This window comes from Homo sapiens, chromosome 12, assembly GCF_000001405.40.
Source record: "Homo sapiens chromosome 12, GRCh38.p14 Primary Assembly".
Classification (NCBI taxonomy): Eukaryota; Metazoa; Chordata; class Mammalia; order Primates; family Hominidae; genus Homo; species Homo sapiens.
The window spans coordinates 111,976,043-111,994,458 of NC_000012.12; the positions used below are offsets into that span (position 1 = coordinate 111,976,043).

The 18,416-nt window shown below is 39.3% G+C and overlaps 1 protein-coding gene and 1 pseudogene across 5 annotated transcripts in view, besides 1 other annotated feature; one reads left to right on the top strand and one right to left on the bottom strand.

Annotated features, from left to right (window-relative positions):
- The window catches only part of TMEM116 (transmembrane protein 116), an 81,938-nt gene that overhangs the window by 44,761 nt on the left and 18,761 nt on the right, over positions 1 to 18,416 (bottom strand). For 4 of the 5 annotated variants that reach the window (NR_122119.1, NM_138341.3, NM_001193453.2 and 1 more), the window contains one exon: positions 15,716 to 15,847. Coding sequence is in view for 2 of the 5 variants with exons in the window: in NM_001193453.2 (NP_001180382.1) it covers positions 15,716 to 15,847 (132 nt within the window). In the remaining 3 variants the exon portion in view is untranslated. Of the gene's footprint in view, positions 1 to 2,693; positions 2,746 to 15,715; positions 15,848 to 18,416 lie in introns of all 5 variants that reach the window. The other variant, NM_001294314.2, reaches the window with a different exon arrangement.
- Positions 15,923 to 16,217: a silencer, noted in NCBI's record as "tiled region #5697; HepG2 Repressive non-DNase unmatched - State 23:Low". NCBI's record gives its function as "represses a minimal TATA promoter and a strong SV40 promoter by Sharpr-MPRA in HepG2 cells {active_cell/tissue: HepG2}" and the evidence as "EXISTENCE:reporter gene assay evidence [ECO:0000049][PMID:27701403]".
- On the top strand, positions 16,896 to 18,198 carry SLC25A3P2 (solute carrier family 25 member 3 pseudogene 2; annotated as a pseudogene).

Genomic DNA, 18,416 nt, shown 5'->3' on the forward strand with positions numbered 1-18,416 from the left:
TAGGCTGGAGTGCTGGAGTGCAGTGGTGCGATCTTGGCTCACTGCAACCTCCGCCTCCTGGGTTCAAGGGATTCTCCTGTCTCAGCCTCCTGAGTAGCTGGGATTACAGGCGCACACCACAATGCCCAGCTAATTTTGTACTTTTAGTAGAGATAGGGTTTCACCATGTTGGTCAGGATGGTCTCGAACTCCTGACCTTGTAATCTGCCCGAGAAACCCACAGACAATGGGGTAAGGGAGGGAACCCAGTAAATTGTAGGAAACTGAGGCCTCTGGCACCAAAAGCTATAGCATACATTAAATACAGCCCAGCTCCTGGTCATATAAACATAAAACCTGAGGCAGGAGAATCGCTTGAAACCGGAAGGCGGAGGTTGCAGTGAGCCGAGATTGCGCCACTGCACTCTAGCCTGGGCAACAAGAGCAAAATTGTCTTAAACAAAACAAAGCAAAACAAAACAAAACATAAAACCTTACATTAAAAATCTAATTACCTCAGTTCCTATTACCTAATACCTCACAACTTTCAACAAAAAATTACAGGGCACGTAAAGGCAAGAAAAACAAACACAGTCTGACAAGACAAGCATTAGACCAGTTTCAGCTATGAATCAGATTTTGAAATTATTAGATAGGGAATCTAAAACAATAACAATTAATATGTTAAGGGCTCTGATGGAAAAAACAGACAACATGTAAGAACAGATAGTTAATGTAAAAATGGAAACTCTTAAAAAGAATCAAAAGGAAACATTAAACGTCAAAAATACTGTAATAGACATAAAGAAAGGGCACATCAATTAACTGAATACAGCCATGAATGTAATCATCAGTAAGCTTTATAATATGTAAATAGAAACTTCCCAAAATAAAATGCAAAGAAAAAAAGAATTAGGAACAGAATGTCAAAAGGAACAGAACAACAGTGGAACAGTTATAAAAGGTGTAACATAGGTATAATGGAATTACCAGAGGGAGAAGAAAGAGCAAAAGAAACATAAGAAATATCTGAAGTAATAATGACTCAGGATTTTTCAAAATTAATGACAGACACCAAATCACATATGCAGGAAGCTTACAGAACATCAAGCAAGATAAAAACCAAAAAATCTGCACCTAGAAATATCATATTCAAACTGCAGAAAACCAAAGACAAAGAGAAAAATCTAGAAAGAAACCAGTTTTAAAACCACTTTTTTTAGAGAAACAGGGATAAGAATTATACTGTACTTCTTGTCAAACTACATAAACAAGAAGAAAGTACAGTGAAATATTTAAACTGTTGAAAGAAAGAACCACTAACCTAGAATTCTGTTTCCAGTATCCAGTAAAATTATTCTATAAAAATGAAGGAGAGACAGTTGCACATTGTTAATGTGCTAAATGCCACTGAATTGTACACTTTAAAACGGTTAGTTTTATGTTATGTGAATTTCACCCTAATAAAATAAGTGAAGGAGAAATTCAGACAAACAAAAACTATCACCAAGTAGACCTATTTTCCTAGAAAAGTTAAAGAAGTTCTTCAGAAAGAATGAAAATTGTGTATGTCAGTAAATTCGGATCTACATAAAGAAAAAAAATCAGAGAAGGAATAAATAAAGCTCAAATAAAATATTTCATTTTTCTTAGCTGACATAATAGTAATAATAGAAAAAATGTATTGAGTGATTATATCATAAGGGTAAGTAAAATAAACAACAGCAATATTATAAGAGACAGGAAAGAACAACTAGGAATACTCTGTTACAAGGTACCTGCACTACCCATGAAACAATATAGTATTATTTGAAAGTAAACTTAGATTAGTAAATGTGTAAGACAAACTCTTGGGGAGTAACTAAAAACTATACTTAAAAATTAAGTATAATTGATATGCTAAGAAAAGAGAGAAGACAGAATAATTTTTAAAATGCTCAAAACCAGAAAAAGAAAAAAAGAGGAAGATAAAGAACAGATACAACAAATAGGAAACAGATATTAATCCAACTATATCAATAATTGCTTTCAATATGATCTAAATAAACCCATAAAAACATAGTGACTGTTAGAGTAGATTAAAAAAAAAAAAAAGGCCCAGCTAGCGCGGTGGCTCACGCCTGTAATCCCAGCACTTTGGGAGGCCGAGGTGGGCAGATCACGAGGTCAGGAGTTCGAGACCAGCCTGACCAACATGGTAAAACCCTGTCTCTACTAAAAATACAAAAAGTTAGCCAGGCATGGTGGTGCATGCCTGTAATCCCAGCTACTCAGGAGGCTGAGGCAGGAGAATCGCTTGAACCTGGGAGGCGGAGGTTGCAGTGAGCCAAGATCACAGCACTGCACTTCTGGGCGACAGAGTGAGACTTCATTTCAAAAAAAAGAAAAAAAAAGGCCCATCTATATGTTGTCTACAAAAAACTCACTTTAATATAAAGTCACAGATAAAGAGGATGTACAGAGATATACCACATGTTATGGACTGAATGTTTGTGTCCCTCAAAATTCATATGTTGAAATCCTAACCCCAAAGGTGAGGCATTTAGAAGGTGGGGCCTTTGGGAGGCAATTAGCTCCTAAGGGTGGAGGCTTCACAAATGAGATTAGTGCCCTTATAAAAAGACATGAGAGGGCTTGCTCTCTGTCTCTTGTCTCCACTATGTTTGGATACAACAAGAAAATAGCCATCTGCAAACCAGGAAGTGGGCTCTTACCAGACACCAGATCTGCTGATTATCTTAATCTTGGACCTTCCAGCCTCCAGAACTGTAAGAAATAAATGCCTGTTGTTTAAGTCACACATTGTATGGTAATTTGTTATAGCTGCCTGAACTAAGACACCATGCAGACACTAATATAGTCAACTCATCTTTGATAAAGGATCAAAAGCAATTCACTGGAAAAAGTGTAGTCTTTTCACCAAAAAGTGTTAGACTTATAGACATCCATATGCAAAAATAAGACCTTATACCTGTCACAAAACTTAACTCAAGATGGATCACAGATCTAAATGTAAAACACAAAAGTTCTATAAAATGTCTAGAAGATAACATAGGAGAAAATCTAGATGACCTTGGGTCACCTAGATCCATGATCCATGAAAGAAAAAATGGATGAGTGGAACTTCATTGGAAAATAGGTATTCAAATGAATACATGTACACATGTTCATAGAAGCACTATTTACACTAGCCAAAAGGTGAAAACAACCCTCACGTTTATGAATGGATGAATAAATTGTGTATACATATTATATATATATATACACAATAGAATATTATTTATACAAGGGAATGAAGTACTGATATATCCTACAATGTGGATGAAACTTCAAAACATTGTGCTAAGTGAAAGAAGCCAGACACAAAATGTTACACATATCGTATGATTCCATTTATAGTAAATACCTAGAATATAGAAACAGAAGGAAAACAGAAAGCAGACTGGTGGGGGATGAAGAGTAATCTCTTAATGGGTACAGGGTTTCCTTTTAGTGTATTGAAAATGTTTTGGAACTACATAAAGCTGGTGGTTGAACAACACTGTGAATATGCTAAATGCTGCTCAATTGTTCACTTAAAAAGCTGTTACATAAATTTTGCCTCATTCAAAAAAATTTTGAAATCTGTTCTGCAGAAGACTCTGTTAAAAGAATGAAGAGACAAGCCACAGACTGGAAGAAAACATTTCCAAAATACATTGACTGAGGAACTGTATCCACAATACACAAATAACTCATAAACTCAACAATAAGAAAACAAAATATTTGGATATGTCACCAAAGAAGACAGGTAGCAAATGAGCATATAAAAAAATGTTCAACATTATATGTCATTAGAGAGCTGAAAATTACAACAAGACACCAATACATACCTACTAGAATGGCAAAAATCCAAAACACTGAAACCAAGTGCTGTTGAGGATGCCAAGCAGTAGAAACTCTCATTTATTGCTGGTGGGAATGAAAGCGGGTACAGCCACTTTGGAAGACAGTCTGGCAATTTCTTACAAAGCCAAACATAGGCTTACTATATAATCCAGCAATCATCCTCCTAGTTATTTCCTCAGTTGAACTGAAAACTTATGTCCACACAAAAACCTGCATACTAATGTTTATAGAAGCATTATTTATAATTGCCCCAAACTAGAAGCAACCAAGATGTCCTATAATGATGAAAGAATTTTAAAAAACTGTGATAAACCCATACAACAAATAAAAAGAAATGAGCTATTAAGACACTAAAAGACCTGGAAGAACCTTAAATACATATTGCTAAGTGAAAAGAAGTCAATCTGACAAGATTATATACTGTATGATTCCCATTATATGACATTCTAAAAAGGCAAAACTATAGAAACCATAAAAATATCAATGAGTTGCCAAGGAAAGGAAGAGTGTGCGAAAGATGAATATATGAATAAAAAATTTTAGGACCGTGAAACTATTCTGGATGATACTATAATGGTGGACACATGACAGTATGAATTTATCAAAAGCCACGGAACTGCACAACACAAAGACTGAAACTTAGAGTAAACTACTGACTTTAGTGAATAATAATGTACCAATATGGGTTCATTAATTGTAATAAATGTACCACACTAAGGCAAAATGATTATAGGGGAAACTTTGGGAACTAGGGGAGGGTATGGTAGGTACCAGGGAACTCTGTAGTATTTGCCCGATTTTTCTGTAAATCTAAAACTGTTCTAAAAATAAAGTCTATTTTTAAAACTAGCACGATATTTACATAGAGATAAAAAATATATCAGCCTGGCGCAGTGGCTCATGCCTGTAATCTCAGCACTTTGGAAGGCTGAGGTGGGCAGATTGCATGAGCTCAGGGGTTCGAGACCAGCCTGGGCAACATGGTGAAACCTCCTCTCCACAAAAAATACAAAAATTAACTGGGCGTGGTAGTGTGTGCCTGTAGTTCCAGCTACTCTGGAGGCTGCAGTGGTAGGATCACTTGAGCCCAGCAGGTTGAGGCTGCAGTGAGCAGTCGTTGTGCCACTGCTGGGTAACAGAGCGAGACACTGTCTCAAAAAAAAAAAAAAAGAAACTTATCAAATTGTATACTTTAAATGTTTGCCATTATACCTCAATTAAGCTGTTTAAAAAATAAACAAATAGAGTAACATCACAGAAAGTGATGGAGTACAGAACTCCAAAAATCTATCCTTCCACTAACGCAACAATTAAGCTGGATAAAAACCAGTCAAAACCAACTTTTTTTGAGCTCTAGAATCTAATCAAAAATTTACAAAACCCAGGGGAATGCTTAGTGAAGGAAGGCATGGTAAATTTTGGTAAGAGAGTGTTATGGCATTTTAATTTACCTGCCTTACCACCCCCAACTCCCTAATTCGATGACAACTTTGGGGACAGCAGTCTGCATTCCTGTTGCAGGTTGTTAGTGCCACAGGGATCAATATGGACCTTATTCTCAAATAATTGCAGCTACGTGTTTTGGTGTGTCTGGTCCTTCCCTGCAGGATCAACATAGGGGCTTGCTTTTATTTCATCCACTTGGAATTTTCTCAGAGCAGGAGTGGCCTCAAAGACAGCATATGTCAAAAGTACTTAGAGGCAAATACATTAGCCACAGCCTTCTGGGGCAAGGGACAACAGAAAGGTCAAACAGCAGAGAGAACCAAAAGCCTGGGAAAGAGGCTGGGGAAGGAAATACATGGGGAAATAAGAACTCTGAAAGAAATCCTGTATTCAGTATTCATAATAGCCAAGATATGCAATCAACCTAAGTGTCCATCAATAGATGAATGGATAAAGAAAATATGTTATATATACATAATGGAATACTATTCAGCCTTTAAAAGGAAGAAAATCTTGTCATTTGTAACAACAGGATAAACTTGGAGTATATTATCCTAACTGAAATAAGCCAGGCACAGAAAGACAAATACTGCATAATTTCACTTATGTGTGAAATTATAAAAAGTTGAATTCATAAAAGTAGATAGTAGAATGGTGATTACCAAGAACTAGGAGGTGGGGAGGAAGCATACTGGGGATACATTGGTCAAAGTATATAAAATTTCAGTTAGATAGGAGAAAAAAGTTCAGGACATCTATTGTACAACATGGTGACTACAGTTAATAATATTATATACTTGAAAATTGCCAACAGAGTAGATTTTAGATGTTCTCACCACAAAAAAATGTTAAGTATGTGAGGTAATGGATATGTTGACTAGCATGATTTAGCCATTCCAAAATATATACATATATTAAAACATTATGTTTTACATCATAAATGCATACCTTTTTTTTTTTTTTGAGACCGAGTCTTGCTCTGTTGCCCAGACTGGAGTGCAGTGGTGTGATCTCGGCTCACTGAAACCTCTGCCTCCCAGGTTCAAGCAATTCTCCTGCCTCAGCCTCCTGAGTAGCTGAAACTACAGGCGCATGCCACTACGCCCAGCTAATTTTTTGTATTTTAGTAGAGATGGGGTTTTACCGTGTTGTCCAGGCTGGTTGCGGACTCCTGAGCTCAGGCAATCTGCCCTCGTTGGCCTCCCAAAGTGCTGGGATTACAGGTATGAGCCACCGTGCCTGGCCAATGCATACAATTTTTATTTGTCAATATAGAAAATCAATCAATCAATCAATCAATCAGGAAAGTACATGCAGATACTGGGGAATCTAGAAGGCCACATGCATGTCCAGAGCAGGACACATACTCAGAAAAAAATCTACATTTGCAACTCCTATGGACATTCAGGCTTCATGCAAGTAGGAAGCAAAGGCTAAGAAAGAGGTGTAAATGACATAGCTAAGCACTGAAACAATGCTCCAATACAGAACCAATCTGCAAAGACCATGAAAGGTTTTTCTTTGTTTGTTTTTGTATGAGGAATCTAAGGAAATTTCTGGCCAATCACAAGCTCACCACTAAGGTAATGGAAAGATACTTCAGTGACTACATTAGGCAAAGAATACAGTCTTTAAAAATAATAGTTTAGGCTGGGCACAGTGACTCATGCCTGTAATCCCACTTTGGGATTACACTTTGGGAGGCTGAGGTGGGAAGACCACTTGAGCACAGGAGTTCAAGACTAGCCTGGGCAACATAGCGAGACCTTGTCTATCTCTCTAAAAAAAAAAATTAGCTGGGGCCAGGCACGGTGGCTCATGCCTGTAATCCCAGCACTGAGAGGCTAAGGCAGGCAGATCACCTGGGGTCAGGAGTCTGAGACCAGCCTGACCAATATGGTGAAACCCCATCTCTACTAAAAATACAAAAATTAGCTGGGCATGGTGGCGTATGCCTGTAATCCCAGCCACTTGGGAGGCTGAGGCAGGAGAATCGCTTGAGCCTGGGAGGCGGAGGCGGAGGTTGCAGTGAGCTGAGATCATGCCACTGCACTCCAGCCTGGGCAACAGAGCAAGACTCTATCTAAAAAAAAAACACAAAAAAATTAGCTGGGCATGGTGGCATGCACTACGCGGGGGTCTGAGGTGGGAGGATTGCTTGAGCCCAGGATGTTGAAGCTGCAATGAGCTGTGACTGAACCACTGCACTCCAGCCTGGGAGACAGAGCAAGACCCTGTCTCAAACAATAATAATAGTAATAATAATAATAGTTTAGAAATAGAAAATTGGAACAGACCTATAACTAGTAAGGAGATTTAATCAGTAATCAAAAAATTTCCCCAAACACAAAGCCTAGAACCAAATGGCTTTACTGGTAAATTCTATCAAACACTTAGAGAATAACTACCACCAAAACCTGTCAAGTTATTCCAAAAAGTCGAATAGGATGCAATGCTTCCCAACTCATTCTATGAGGCCAGCAAAACCCTGATACCAAAGCCAGACAATGACACTACAAGAAAAGAACAGACCAATATCCCTGATGAATACTGTTGCAAAAATCCTCAACAAAATAGTAGCAAACAAAATTCAACCGCACATTAAAATGATTATACACCATGATGAAATAGGAGCTGTTCCTGGAATGCAACGATGGTTCAACATACAAAAATCAATTAATATATCACATTAATAGAATTAAGGAAAAAACTATCGTCTATATGACTATTTCAATTAATGCAGAAAAGCATTTGACAAAATTCAATACCTTTTCATGATTAAAAAAAAGCCCACCCAAAAAAACTCCCAAACTAGGAACAGAAGAAAACTATCTCAGCAAAATAAAGGCCAGTACATATACACACTGGAGTACTATTCAGCCATAAAAAAAATGAGATCTGTCATTTGCAACAACATAGATGGAACTGGAGATCATTATATTAAGTGAAAGAAGCCAGGCACAGAAAGGCAACCATCGTATATTTGCAGTTATTTGTGGAATCTAAAAATCAAAACAATTGAACTCATGGACATAAAGAGTAGGAGGATGGTACCAGAAGCTGGGAGGGGTAGTGGAAAAGTAGGAAGGAGGTGGAGATGGTCAATGGGTACAAAAAATATATATAGTAATGGGTACAAAAAATATATATAGTTAAAAAGAATAAATAAGACCTACTATTTGATAGCACAAGGTGACTATAGTCAACAATAACTTAATTGTACATTTTAAAAGAACTAAAACAGTATAACTATTGCTTATAACACAAAGGAAAAAGGGTGACTATAGTGAACAATAACTTAATTGTACATTTTAAAAGAATTAAAACAGTATAACTGTATTGCTTATAGCACAAAGGAAAAACGGTTGAAGGGATGGATAATCCCATTCTCCATGATGTGATTATTTTACATTGCATGCCTGTATCAAAACATTTCATGTACCCCCATAAATATATATACCTACTATGTACCCACAAAATTAAAAAAAAAATTTTAAATGTTACCAATTTATAGTCTTCCTCCACCAAAGGTATATAACAATTCCCATTTTATTATACATTTACCAATATTAAATCATTTCATAAACGAAAAAGCAAAAACAAAATAAAAAAACATAATAAAGTCCATATATGAAAAGCCCAGAATCTTTTACTCATACTCAATGATGAAAGACAAAGTCATCATACTCAATGATGAAAGACAAAGTCATCATACTCAATGATGAAAGACAAAGCTTTTCTTCTAAGTTCAGAACAAGGTGAGGATGCCTGCTTTTACCACTTCTATTCAACATAGTTTTGGAAGTCCTAGCTAGAGCAATTAAGCAAGAAGAAATAAAAGATAATGAAATCGAAAAGGAAGATATAAAATCATTTTTGTTTGCAGATAACACGATCTTATATGTAGAAAACTCTAAAGATTACACACACACACACACACACACACGCAACTGTTCAAACAAATAATAGAATTCAGCCAAGTAGCCAGATACAAAATCAACATGCAAAAATCAGCTGCACTTCTATGTATTAACAATGAACAATCCAAAAAAGAAATTATGAAAATAATTCCATTTACAATATCATTAAACACAATAAAATACTTAGGAATAAACTTAACCAAGGACGGAAAAGACTTGTATACTAAAAAGTATAAAACATTGCTAAAAGAAATTAGAGAAGACACCAATAAATGGAAAGATACCCATGTTCATGGATTGGAAGACTTACTATTATAGTTTTTTGTTTTTTTGAGACAAGGTCTCGCTCTGTCACCCAGGCTGGTGTCATGGCGGAATCATGGCCCACGGCAGCCTCAACCTCCTGGGCTCAAGCAATTCTCCCATCCCAGCCTCCAGAGCCTCCAGAGTAGCTGGAATTATAGGCGCACACCACCACACCCAGCTAATTTTTGTATTTTTTGTAGAGACGAGGTCTCGCCATGTTGCCCAGGCTGGTCTCAAACTCCTGGGCTCATGCGATCTGCCTGCCTCAGCTTCCCAAAGCGCTGGGATTGTAGGCATGAGCCACCACACCTGGCTGAAACAATTACTGTTGTTAAGATGTTCAATACTACCCTAAGTGACCTACAGATTCAATGCAATCCCTATCAAAATCCCAACAACTTTTTTTTTTTGCAGAAATAAAATATACCATACTAAAATTCATATGGAATCTCAAGGGACCCTGAATAGCTAAAACAATCTTGAAAAAGAAGAGGTAAGGCATGATGGCTCACGCCTGTATTCCCAGCACTTTGGGAGGTTGAGGTAGGAGGATCACTTGAGCCCAGAGGTTTGAGACCAGCCTGAGCAACACGGCAAGATCCTCTCTCTACAAAAAAAAATTTAAAAATTAGCCAGCTGTGGTGATGTGCACCTGTGGTCCTAGCTACTCAGAAGGCTGAGACAGGAGTATTACTTAAGCCCAGAAGGTTGAGGCTGCAGTGAGCCACGATCATGCCACTGCACTTCAGACTGGGCGACAGAGCAAGACCCTGTCTCAAAAAGAAAAAAGAATAAAAAGTTGGAAGACTCACACTTTCCAGTTTCATATAGACCGAATGGATCAGAATTAAAAGCCCAGAAATAAATCCTACATATATAATCAAATGATTTTTACAAGGGTGCCAAGATCATTTAATGGGGAAAGGACATTCTTTTCAACAAATGGGGCCAGGCATGGTGGCTCACGCCTGTAATCCCAGCACTATGGAAGTCTAAGGCGGGAGGACTGCTTGAGCCCAGGAGTTCAAGACTAGTGTGAGCAACATAGGAGACCCCATCTCTACCAAAAATACAAAAATTATCCAGGTGTGGTGGCATGCACCTGTAGTCCCAACTACTTGGGAGGCTGAGGTGGGAGGATTAATTGAGCCCAGAAGGTCGAGGCTACAGTGAGCCATGATCATATCACTGCACTCCAGCCTGGGTAACAGAGCAAGACTCTGTCTCAAATAAATAAATAAATGGTACCAGGAAAACTGAACATCCACAAGCACAAGAATGAAGTTGGACCCTTACTTTACACCACATATGAAAATCTACAAATAGATCAAAGACTTAAATGTAAGACTAAAACTATAAAACTCTTAAAAGAAAATATAGCGTAAAAGCTTCATAATGTTGGATTTGAAAATGATTTCTTGGGTAAGACATCAAAAACACAAGCAACAAAAGAAAAAATGAATTGTAACAAAATTTATAAAACTTATGTGCATCAAAGGACACAATTAACAGAATAAAAAGGCAGCCTACAGAATGGGAGACAATATTTGCACATTGTATGTCTGACAGGCGGTTAAATATAAAGAACTCTTACAGCTCAGTAACAAAAAAGCAAGCAATCTGATTAAAAAATGGGGAAGGGGCTGGGCATGGCGGCTCACACCTGTAATCCCAGCACTTTGGTAGGCTGAGGCAGGCGGATTGCTTGAAGTCAGGAGTTCAAGACCAGCCTGGCCAACATGGTGAAACCTCATCTCTACTAAAACTACAAAAATTAGCCAGGTATGGTGGCGCACACCTGTAATCCCAACTACTCAGGAGTCTGAGGCAGGAGAATCACTAGAACCCGGGAGGTGGAGGTTGCAGTGAGCCGAGATAGCGCCACTGCACTCCAGCCTGGGTGAGAAAGTGAGACTTTGTCCCCCCTCAAAAAAAAAAAAAAAGGGGGAAAGGACTTGAAGAGACATTTCTTCAGAAGATATATAAATGGCCAATAAGCACATGAAAAGCTGCCCAACATTACTAATGATTAGAGAAATGCAAATCAAAAGCACAATGAGATACCACTTTATACCCATTAGGATGGCTATTACTTAAAAAACAAAAAAACAGCAACAAATGTTGGCATGAATGTGGAAACCAGGGCACTGTGCACTGTGCACTGCTGTTATGGAAAACATGGTGTTTCCTCAAAAAATCAAACACAGAATTTCCATCTGATCCAGTAATTCTACTCCTGAGTATATGTACAAAAGAACTGAAAGTAGGGGATCAAACGTATTTGTACATCAATGTTAATAGTAGCGTTATTCACAACATCTAAAAGGTGGAAGCAACCCAAGTGGCCATTGACAGACAAATGGATAAACCAAATGTGGTCTATCCATACAATACAATGGAATATTACTCAGCCTTAAAAACGAAGGAAATTCTGACACATGCTACAACAAGATAAACCTTAAAGACATGCTAAGTGAAATAAGCCGGACACAAAAGGACAAATATTATATGATTCCACTGATACGAGGTACCTAGAGTAGTTGAATTCATAGAGACAGAAAGTAGAACAGTGGTTACCAGGAGCTGGTACTAGGGAGAAATGGGCAGTTATTGTTTAATGGTACACAGCTTGAGATGATGAAAAAGTTCTGGAGATGGACTGTGGTTATAGTTGTATAACAAGGTGAATGTTTAATATCACTGAAGTGTATACTTAAAAGAAGTAAGATTGTAAATTTTATGTTACATTTTTATCATACTTAAAAATTTTTTAATAGTAAATTTTACGTTATGTATAGTTTACCACAATCTTAAAAAACAAAACAAACAAGGCCGGGCACGGTGGCTCACACCTGAAATCCCAGCACTTTGGGAGGGTGAGGCGGGTGGATCACGAGGTCAGGAGATTGAGACTATCCTGGCTAACATGGTGAAACCCCATCTCCAGTAAAATACAAAAAAAAAAAAATTAGCCGGGCATAGTGGCGCATGCCTGTAGTCCCAGCTACTCAGGAGGCTGAGGCAGGGGAATCGCTTGAACCTGGGAGGCAGAGGTTGCAGTGAGCCGAGACTGTGCCACTGCACTCCAGCCTGGTGACAGAGTGAGACTCCATCTCAAAAAACGAACAGGCCGGGCGCGGTGGCTCACGCCTGAAATCCCAGCACTTTGGGAGGCCGAGGTGGGTGGATCACAGGGTCAGGAGTTCAAGACCAGCCTGGCCAACATAGTGAAACCCCGTCTCTACTAAAAAATACAAAAAATAAGCCAGGTGTGGTGGCGGGCGCCTGTAATCCCAGCTACTCGGGAGGCTGAGGCAGGAGAATCACTTGAACCTGGGAGGTGGAGGTTGCAGTGAGCCAAGATTATGCCATTGCACTCCAGCCTGGGCAATAGTGTGAGACTCTGTCTCAAAAACAAAAACAAAACAAAAACAAAAACAAAAACAAAAAACAAACTAGTGTTTTTAAGCCCTCTCCAGCTCATCCCTGATTACAAGAATCCTAGGAAAAATATAAAAAACAACCACTTGAAGACTCTGAAAAGTAAACAAAAACTGGTAGATTGTGGAAAGAAGTCAAACTTGGAGAAGTAAACCAAACAGAAGAAGTGAGTTTCCCAAACTTTTTCCTCTCTTTTCTCTTAGTTTTGCTCAAGCATGTACCTCAGTCATGATGCTGCTCAATGAAGGCACCTACTCTAATAGAAATCTATTTTAGGCAACAGAGATCAGAAAAGGGCCCCCTTTAGGCAGGAAAGTATGGAGGGAATTCTAGAAGAAAGGCAGCCAGGAAAAGGGACGCTTTAATTCTGTGTATTAATCCAAACAAGTCTCAGCCTAACCTGTCTACTATGCGTGTGCATGACAGTCTCAAACCAGCGTAGCCAAGGCTTATAGAACTAAATTGAGATTTGAACCATTGTCCACAGATGATGAGACCAAATTTACATTCTAAACCTAATCAGGTTGCCTGCTAGATAAAATATTAACAATCTCTAGAGAGTTACAAAAGGACCCAGAGTCTATGCAACATAGTATTCATGACATTTAAGTTGCAATCCTAAATTACCTGACATACAAAGAACAGGAAAATGTGACCCACTCTCATGGGAAAAGATAATCAACAGACACCAGCCTAGAAATGAGCCAGACATTGGAAATATCCAACAAAGATTTTTAAAAGCAGCTATTATACTACATAGCTCAAAGAGGTAAAGGAAAACGTATCTGAAATGATTTGGAGGGTGATGGAAACAGGAATGCTTGTTATCTTGATTGTAGTGATGATTTCACAGGGGAATACATATGTAAAAACTGATCAAGCTGTACACCATAAATATGTATAGTTTACTATAGATACAGCTCAATAAAGTTGTAAAAAAATAAAGTAACAGGCCGGGTGCAGTGGTTCACGCCTGTAATCCCAGCACTTTGGGAGGCCAAGACGGGCAGATCACGAGGTCAGGAGATCGAGACCATCCTGGTTAACATGGTGAAACCCCGTCTCTACTAAAAATACAAAAAATTAGCCAGGCGTGGTGGCAGGCGCCTGTAGTCCCAGCTACTTGAGAGGCTGAGGCAGGAGAATGGTGTGAACCCGGGAGGTGGAGCTTGCAGTGAGCCAAGATCATGCCACTGCACTCCAGCATCAGCGACAGAGCGAGACTCCGCCTCAAAAAAAAAAAAAAAGGTAACATTAACCACATCTGTACCAAGCACAAAGTAAATATTATTAATGAACATTTTACAGATTAGGAGATTGAAGTTCAGAAAGATTAGGTACTGGCGAAACATTACAAAGTTAATCAGGTCCAGGATTCTAATACAGACTTTTCTGATCAAAGACTATAATTACCTGAATAAACAATACAGCCTTAATTCTATTTAATTCATGAGGTTATTAGCAGGACTGAGCAAAGTATGACTCTAAAACATTTTAAACTCATATGAGATCGGTAACATTAGTGCACAGATTTTATACCACCAATTACATATTATTAATTTCTTACTAAATTGACAGAAATTTCCCCTCTAGTAACAAATTCCAAAGGAAATATCTAGCAGTGAGCATAGGCTGCATTTAAACCTTTACTTTTTTCACACTGCGTGTCTCAGAAATATAGAAGCAGTATTACATACTGATGGCACTATGTGGATTAATCCATTGGTAAAATTCATAAAAGATATACAATCCATATATGATTATCTGTAGTATTTTCAAAATCCAGTGTTTATTTTACTCCTGTAACACAAAACCATCCAATCATTTCAAATGATGTTATAGAAAAGTATTTAATTACCTGGAAATACGGTCACAATATGATAAATAATAAAAACAGGTTATAAAAAGTATTCATTGGCTGGGCACGGTGGCTCACACCTGTAATCCCAGCACTTTGGGAGGCTGAGACTGGCAGATCATGAGGTCAAGAGATCGAGACCATCCTGGCCAACATGGTGAAACCCCATCTCTACTAAAAGTACAAAAATTAGCTGGGCCTGGTGGCACGCGCCTGTAGTCCCAGCTACTCAGGAGGCTGAGGCAAGAGAATTGCTTGAACCTAGGAGGCGGAGGTTGCAGTGAGCCAAGATCGCGCCACTGCACTCCAGTCTGGCGACAGAGCGAGACTCTGTCTCAAAAAAAAAAAAAAAAAAAAAACGGCTGGGTGCGGTGGCTCATGCCTGTAATCCTAGCACTTTGAGAGGCCGAGGCGGGTGGATCATGAGGTCAGGAGATCGAGGCCATCCTGGCTAACACGGTGAAACCCCGTCTCTACTAAAAATACAAAAAAAATTAGTCGGGCGCGGTGGTGGGCGCCTGTAGTCCCAGCTACTCGGGAGGCTGAGGCAGGAGAATGGCATGAACCTGGGAGGCAGAGCTTGCAGTGAGCCGAGATCGCACCACTGTACTCCAGCCTGGTGACAGACCAAGTCTCTGTCTCAGAAAAAAAAAAAAAAAAATTAAAGAGTAAAGATAACATTATTTTTTTGCTTCTCTGAATTTTCAAAATATTCTATAATATAGTGTTTTTAATATGAAAAAAGATAAAAGCTATTGTTTCAAAATGTAACAATAAACAAATACGTCTCCACTTCCCAAGGTGAATCATCTTTGTTTCTATCTAGATCTGAGTGTGCCTTTCTTGCAAGGTGCAGTGACAGTCTTGTAGCACTCACCTGTCCAACTGCTTGTAGGTTATAGCAGATGATGTCCTTATTTGCTACTGAAGCTCCATAGAGAAGTGTCTCCGTGAGCCAGCAAAGTCCCAGGAGCAGGTCACAGAAGCTCAGATAAAAAAGTGGTCTTATCTGTCAAAGTAATAAAATCCTCATTTCATATGTGATGTAGCTAGGAGAATGTTAACAATGTAACAGTTCTTACATTTTATGTTTCTAGTAGGAAACTGACATCATTTTTCTGGGGCCTCTGCCATTGGTTGATTGTGGGCAATGCAAGGGAAGACTACAGATAGGAAGGAATCTATAACCACTATAACCACAGTTATCCCAACTGTTCTGGAATCAGAGTACTCATGGATAGATTAGTACTGAACCTTCTTACTCACAGGGACACTCCTTTCTTAGGTATAGGGTTAAAAAAAGAGTGGAAAGATGAGAAATTTTGTGGTGGAGATGTACCACAAGGAGACAATTGAGAGTGCTTTAGTGGCACAGGCAACATCTTCTACTTTTTTTTTTTTTTTTTGGAGACAGAGTTTCGCTCTGTCGCCCAGGCTAGAGTGCAGTGGCACGATCTCGGCTCATTGCAAGCTCTGCCTCCTGGGTTCACACCATTCTCCTGCCTCAGCCTCTCAAGTAGCTGGGACTACAGGCGCCCAGCACCACGCCTGGCTAATTTTTTGTATTTTTAGTAGAGATGGGGTTTCACCGTGTTAGCCAGGACGGTCTCGATCTCCTGACCTTGTGATCCACCCTCCTCGGCCTCCCAAAGTGCTGGGATCACAGGCATGAGCCAAACATCTTCTAAATATAAGAAATGAGGTATTCTGCTAAGTGTTTAGGGATGTGGCTGAGGACTTAAAGAAAATGAAAACGTTTACAGTAATAAAAAGTCAGGGTAAAAAGTCAGTAATACTGAAAAATGTCAGAATGAACTGTATGTGTTGCCTTTCGGTTTCTGACCACACTGGTGAAATTTGTCTCTTCTTATTCTTCTCCTTTTGGCATCCCCATTCCCACTTATCTAAAAATAGTTTTGGTCCTATGGAGAAAATTATAAACCATTTATTGAGGGACTCCTAAAGATTAAATGCAATCTCAATGAAATCTCAACCTATTTTCCTGTGGAACTTGACAAGCTGACTCTGAATCTGATGTGGAAGTACAAAATATCACCCTGTGAGCCACAATCCAAGGGAGTAACAGTGGGGTGTTTGCCATCTTAGGGAGAAGCTCTCATCCATGGCACACCTGGCATGGGTGAACTCCTTCAATGTGCCACACCTGCAGCTGGTGGACGATGGCCTCACGGACCTCCACAGCGGTCCCACAAGACCCGCAAGGCCCCCCCACTGCTCTCTTAACCTGGCAGCTGCTGCCTTATAAAAGTACAGTTGTGAATTTGACTCCACGAAGTATTATGCATTGTGTGGCTCTCGTGGGGTCTTAGGTTGTGGTCTGACACACACTGCGGTCATTCCCCTGGGTTTAGTGAAATGCTGTATGCAGGTGGACCCCCAAAAGTAGAAGGGCATATTTAATGGATTCTCAGTTACACTTAAGGAGGATGGTGTTCATTCTTTGGCTAAAGGACAGGCTCTGACTTTCATTGGCCACTCCATGCAGGTGTTCTGCAAGTTTGGCTTTTATGAAGTCTTTAAAGTCTTGTATAGCAACATACTCCCAGAGCATGTTATCTCTGGTGCACATCACTGTATTTGGCTGCCTCTGCCAGTGCTGAATTCTTTGCTGTAATTGCCCTATGGAAGCTGCTAAGGTTCAAATTCAAACCCAACCAGGTTAGACCAAGACTTTGAGGGATGCAGCTCCCAAGATGTATAAGGAAGAAGGCCTAAAAACATTCTACAAAGGGGTTGCTCCTCTCTGGATGAGACAGATAGCATATGCCATGATGAAGTTTGCCTGCTTTTAAGGTACTGTTGAAGCATTGTACAAGTTTGTGGTTCGGAAGCCCTGTGGTGAATGTTCAAAGACAGAGGAGCTGGTTGTAACATTTGTAGCAGGTTACATACCTGGAGTGTTTTGTGCAATTGTTTCTCACCCTGATGATTCTGTGGTATCTGTGTTGAATAAAGAAAAAGGTAGCAGTGCTTCTCAAGTCCTCCAGAGACTTGGATTTAAAGGTGTATGGAAGGGAATGTTTGTCTGTATCATTATGACTGGTACTCTGACTGCACTACAGTAGTTTATCTATGATTCTGTGAAGGTCTACTTCAGCCTCCCTTGCCCTCCCCCAAGATGCCAGAATCTCTGAAGAAGCAGCTTGGGTTAACTCAGTGACAGATCAAAGCAAATGTGGACTGAAACTGCTTGTTGATCAGTGTTGAAGAACGTACAAAAGGAACTTTCATATATTTGACAGTGTAGGAAATTGTCTATTCCTGATATAATTACTAGAGTACTTTCACTTAAGTCAAGAGTTTCAAATTTACTATTGAAATAAACCCAACTCTTCAGGAAAAAAAGAAAGAAATATAAAATATTAAGATAACCAAGACACTCTTGAAAAAAAAAGAAGAACTTGCCCCACCTCATCTTAAGACTTATCGTGGGATCTGGCCAGCAGCCCGCAATGCAACGGGGCTCTTTCTTTGTTCCCAGGTGGATCGGCAGGTCGAGAAATAAAAGACACACACAAAATAGTGAAAGCTGGGTCCAGGGCGTCACCGCCTTCTGG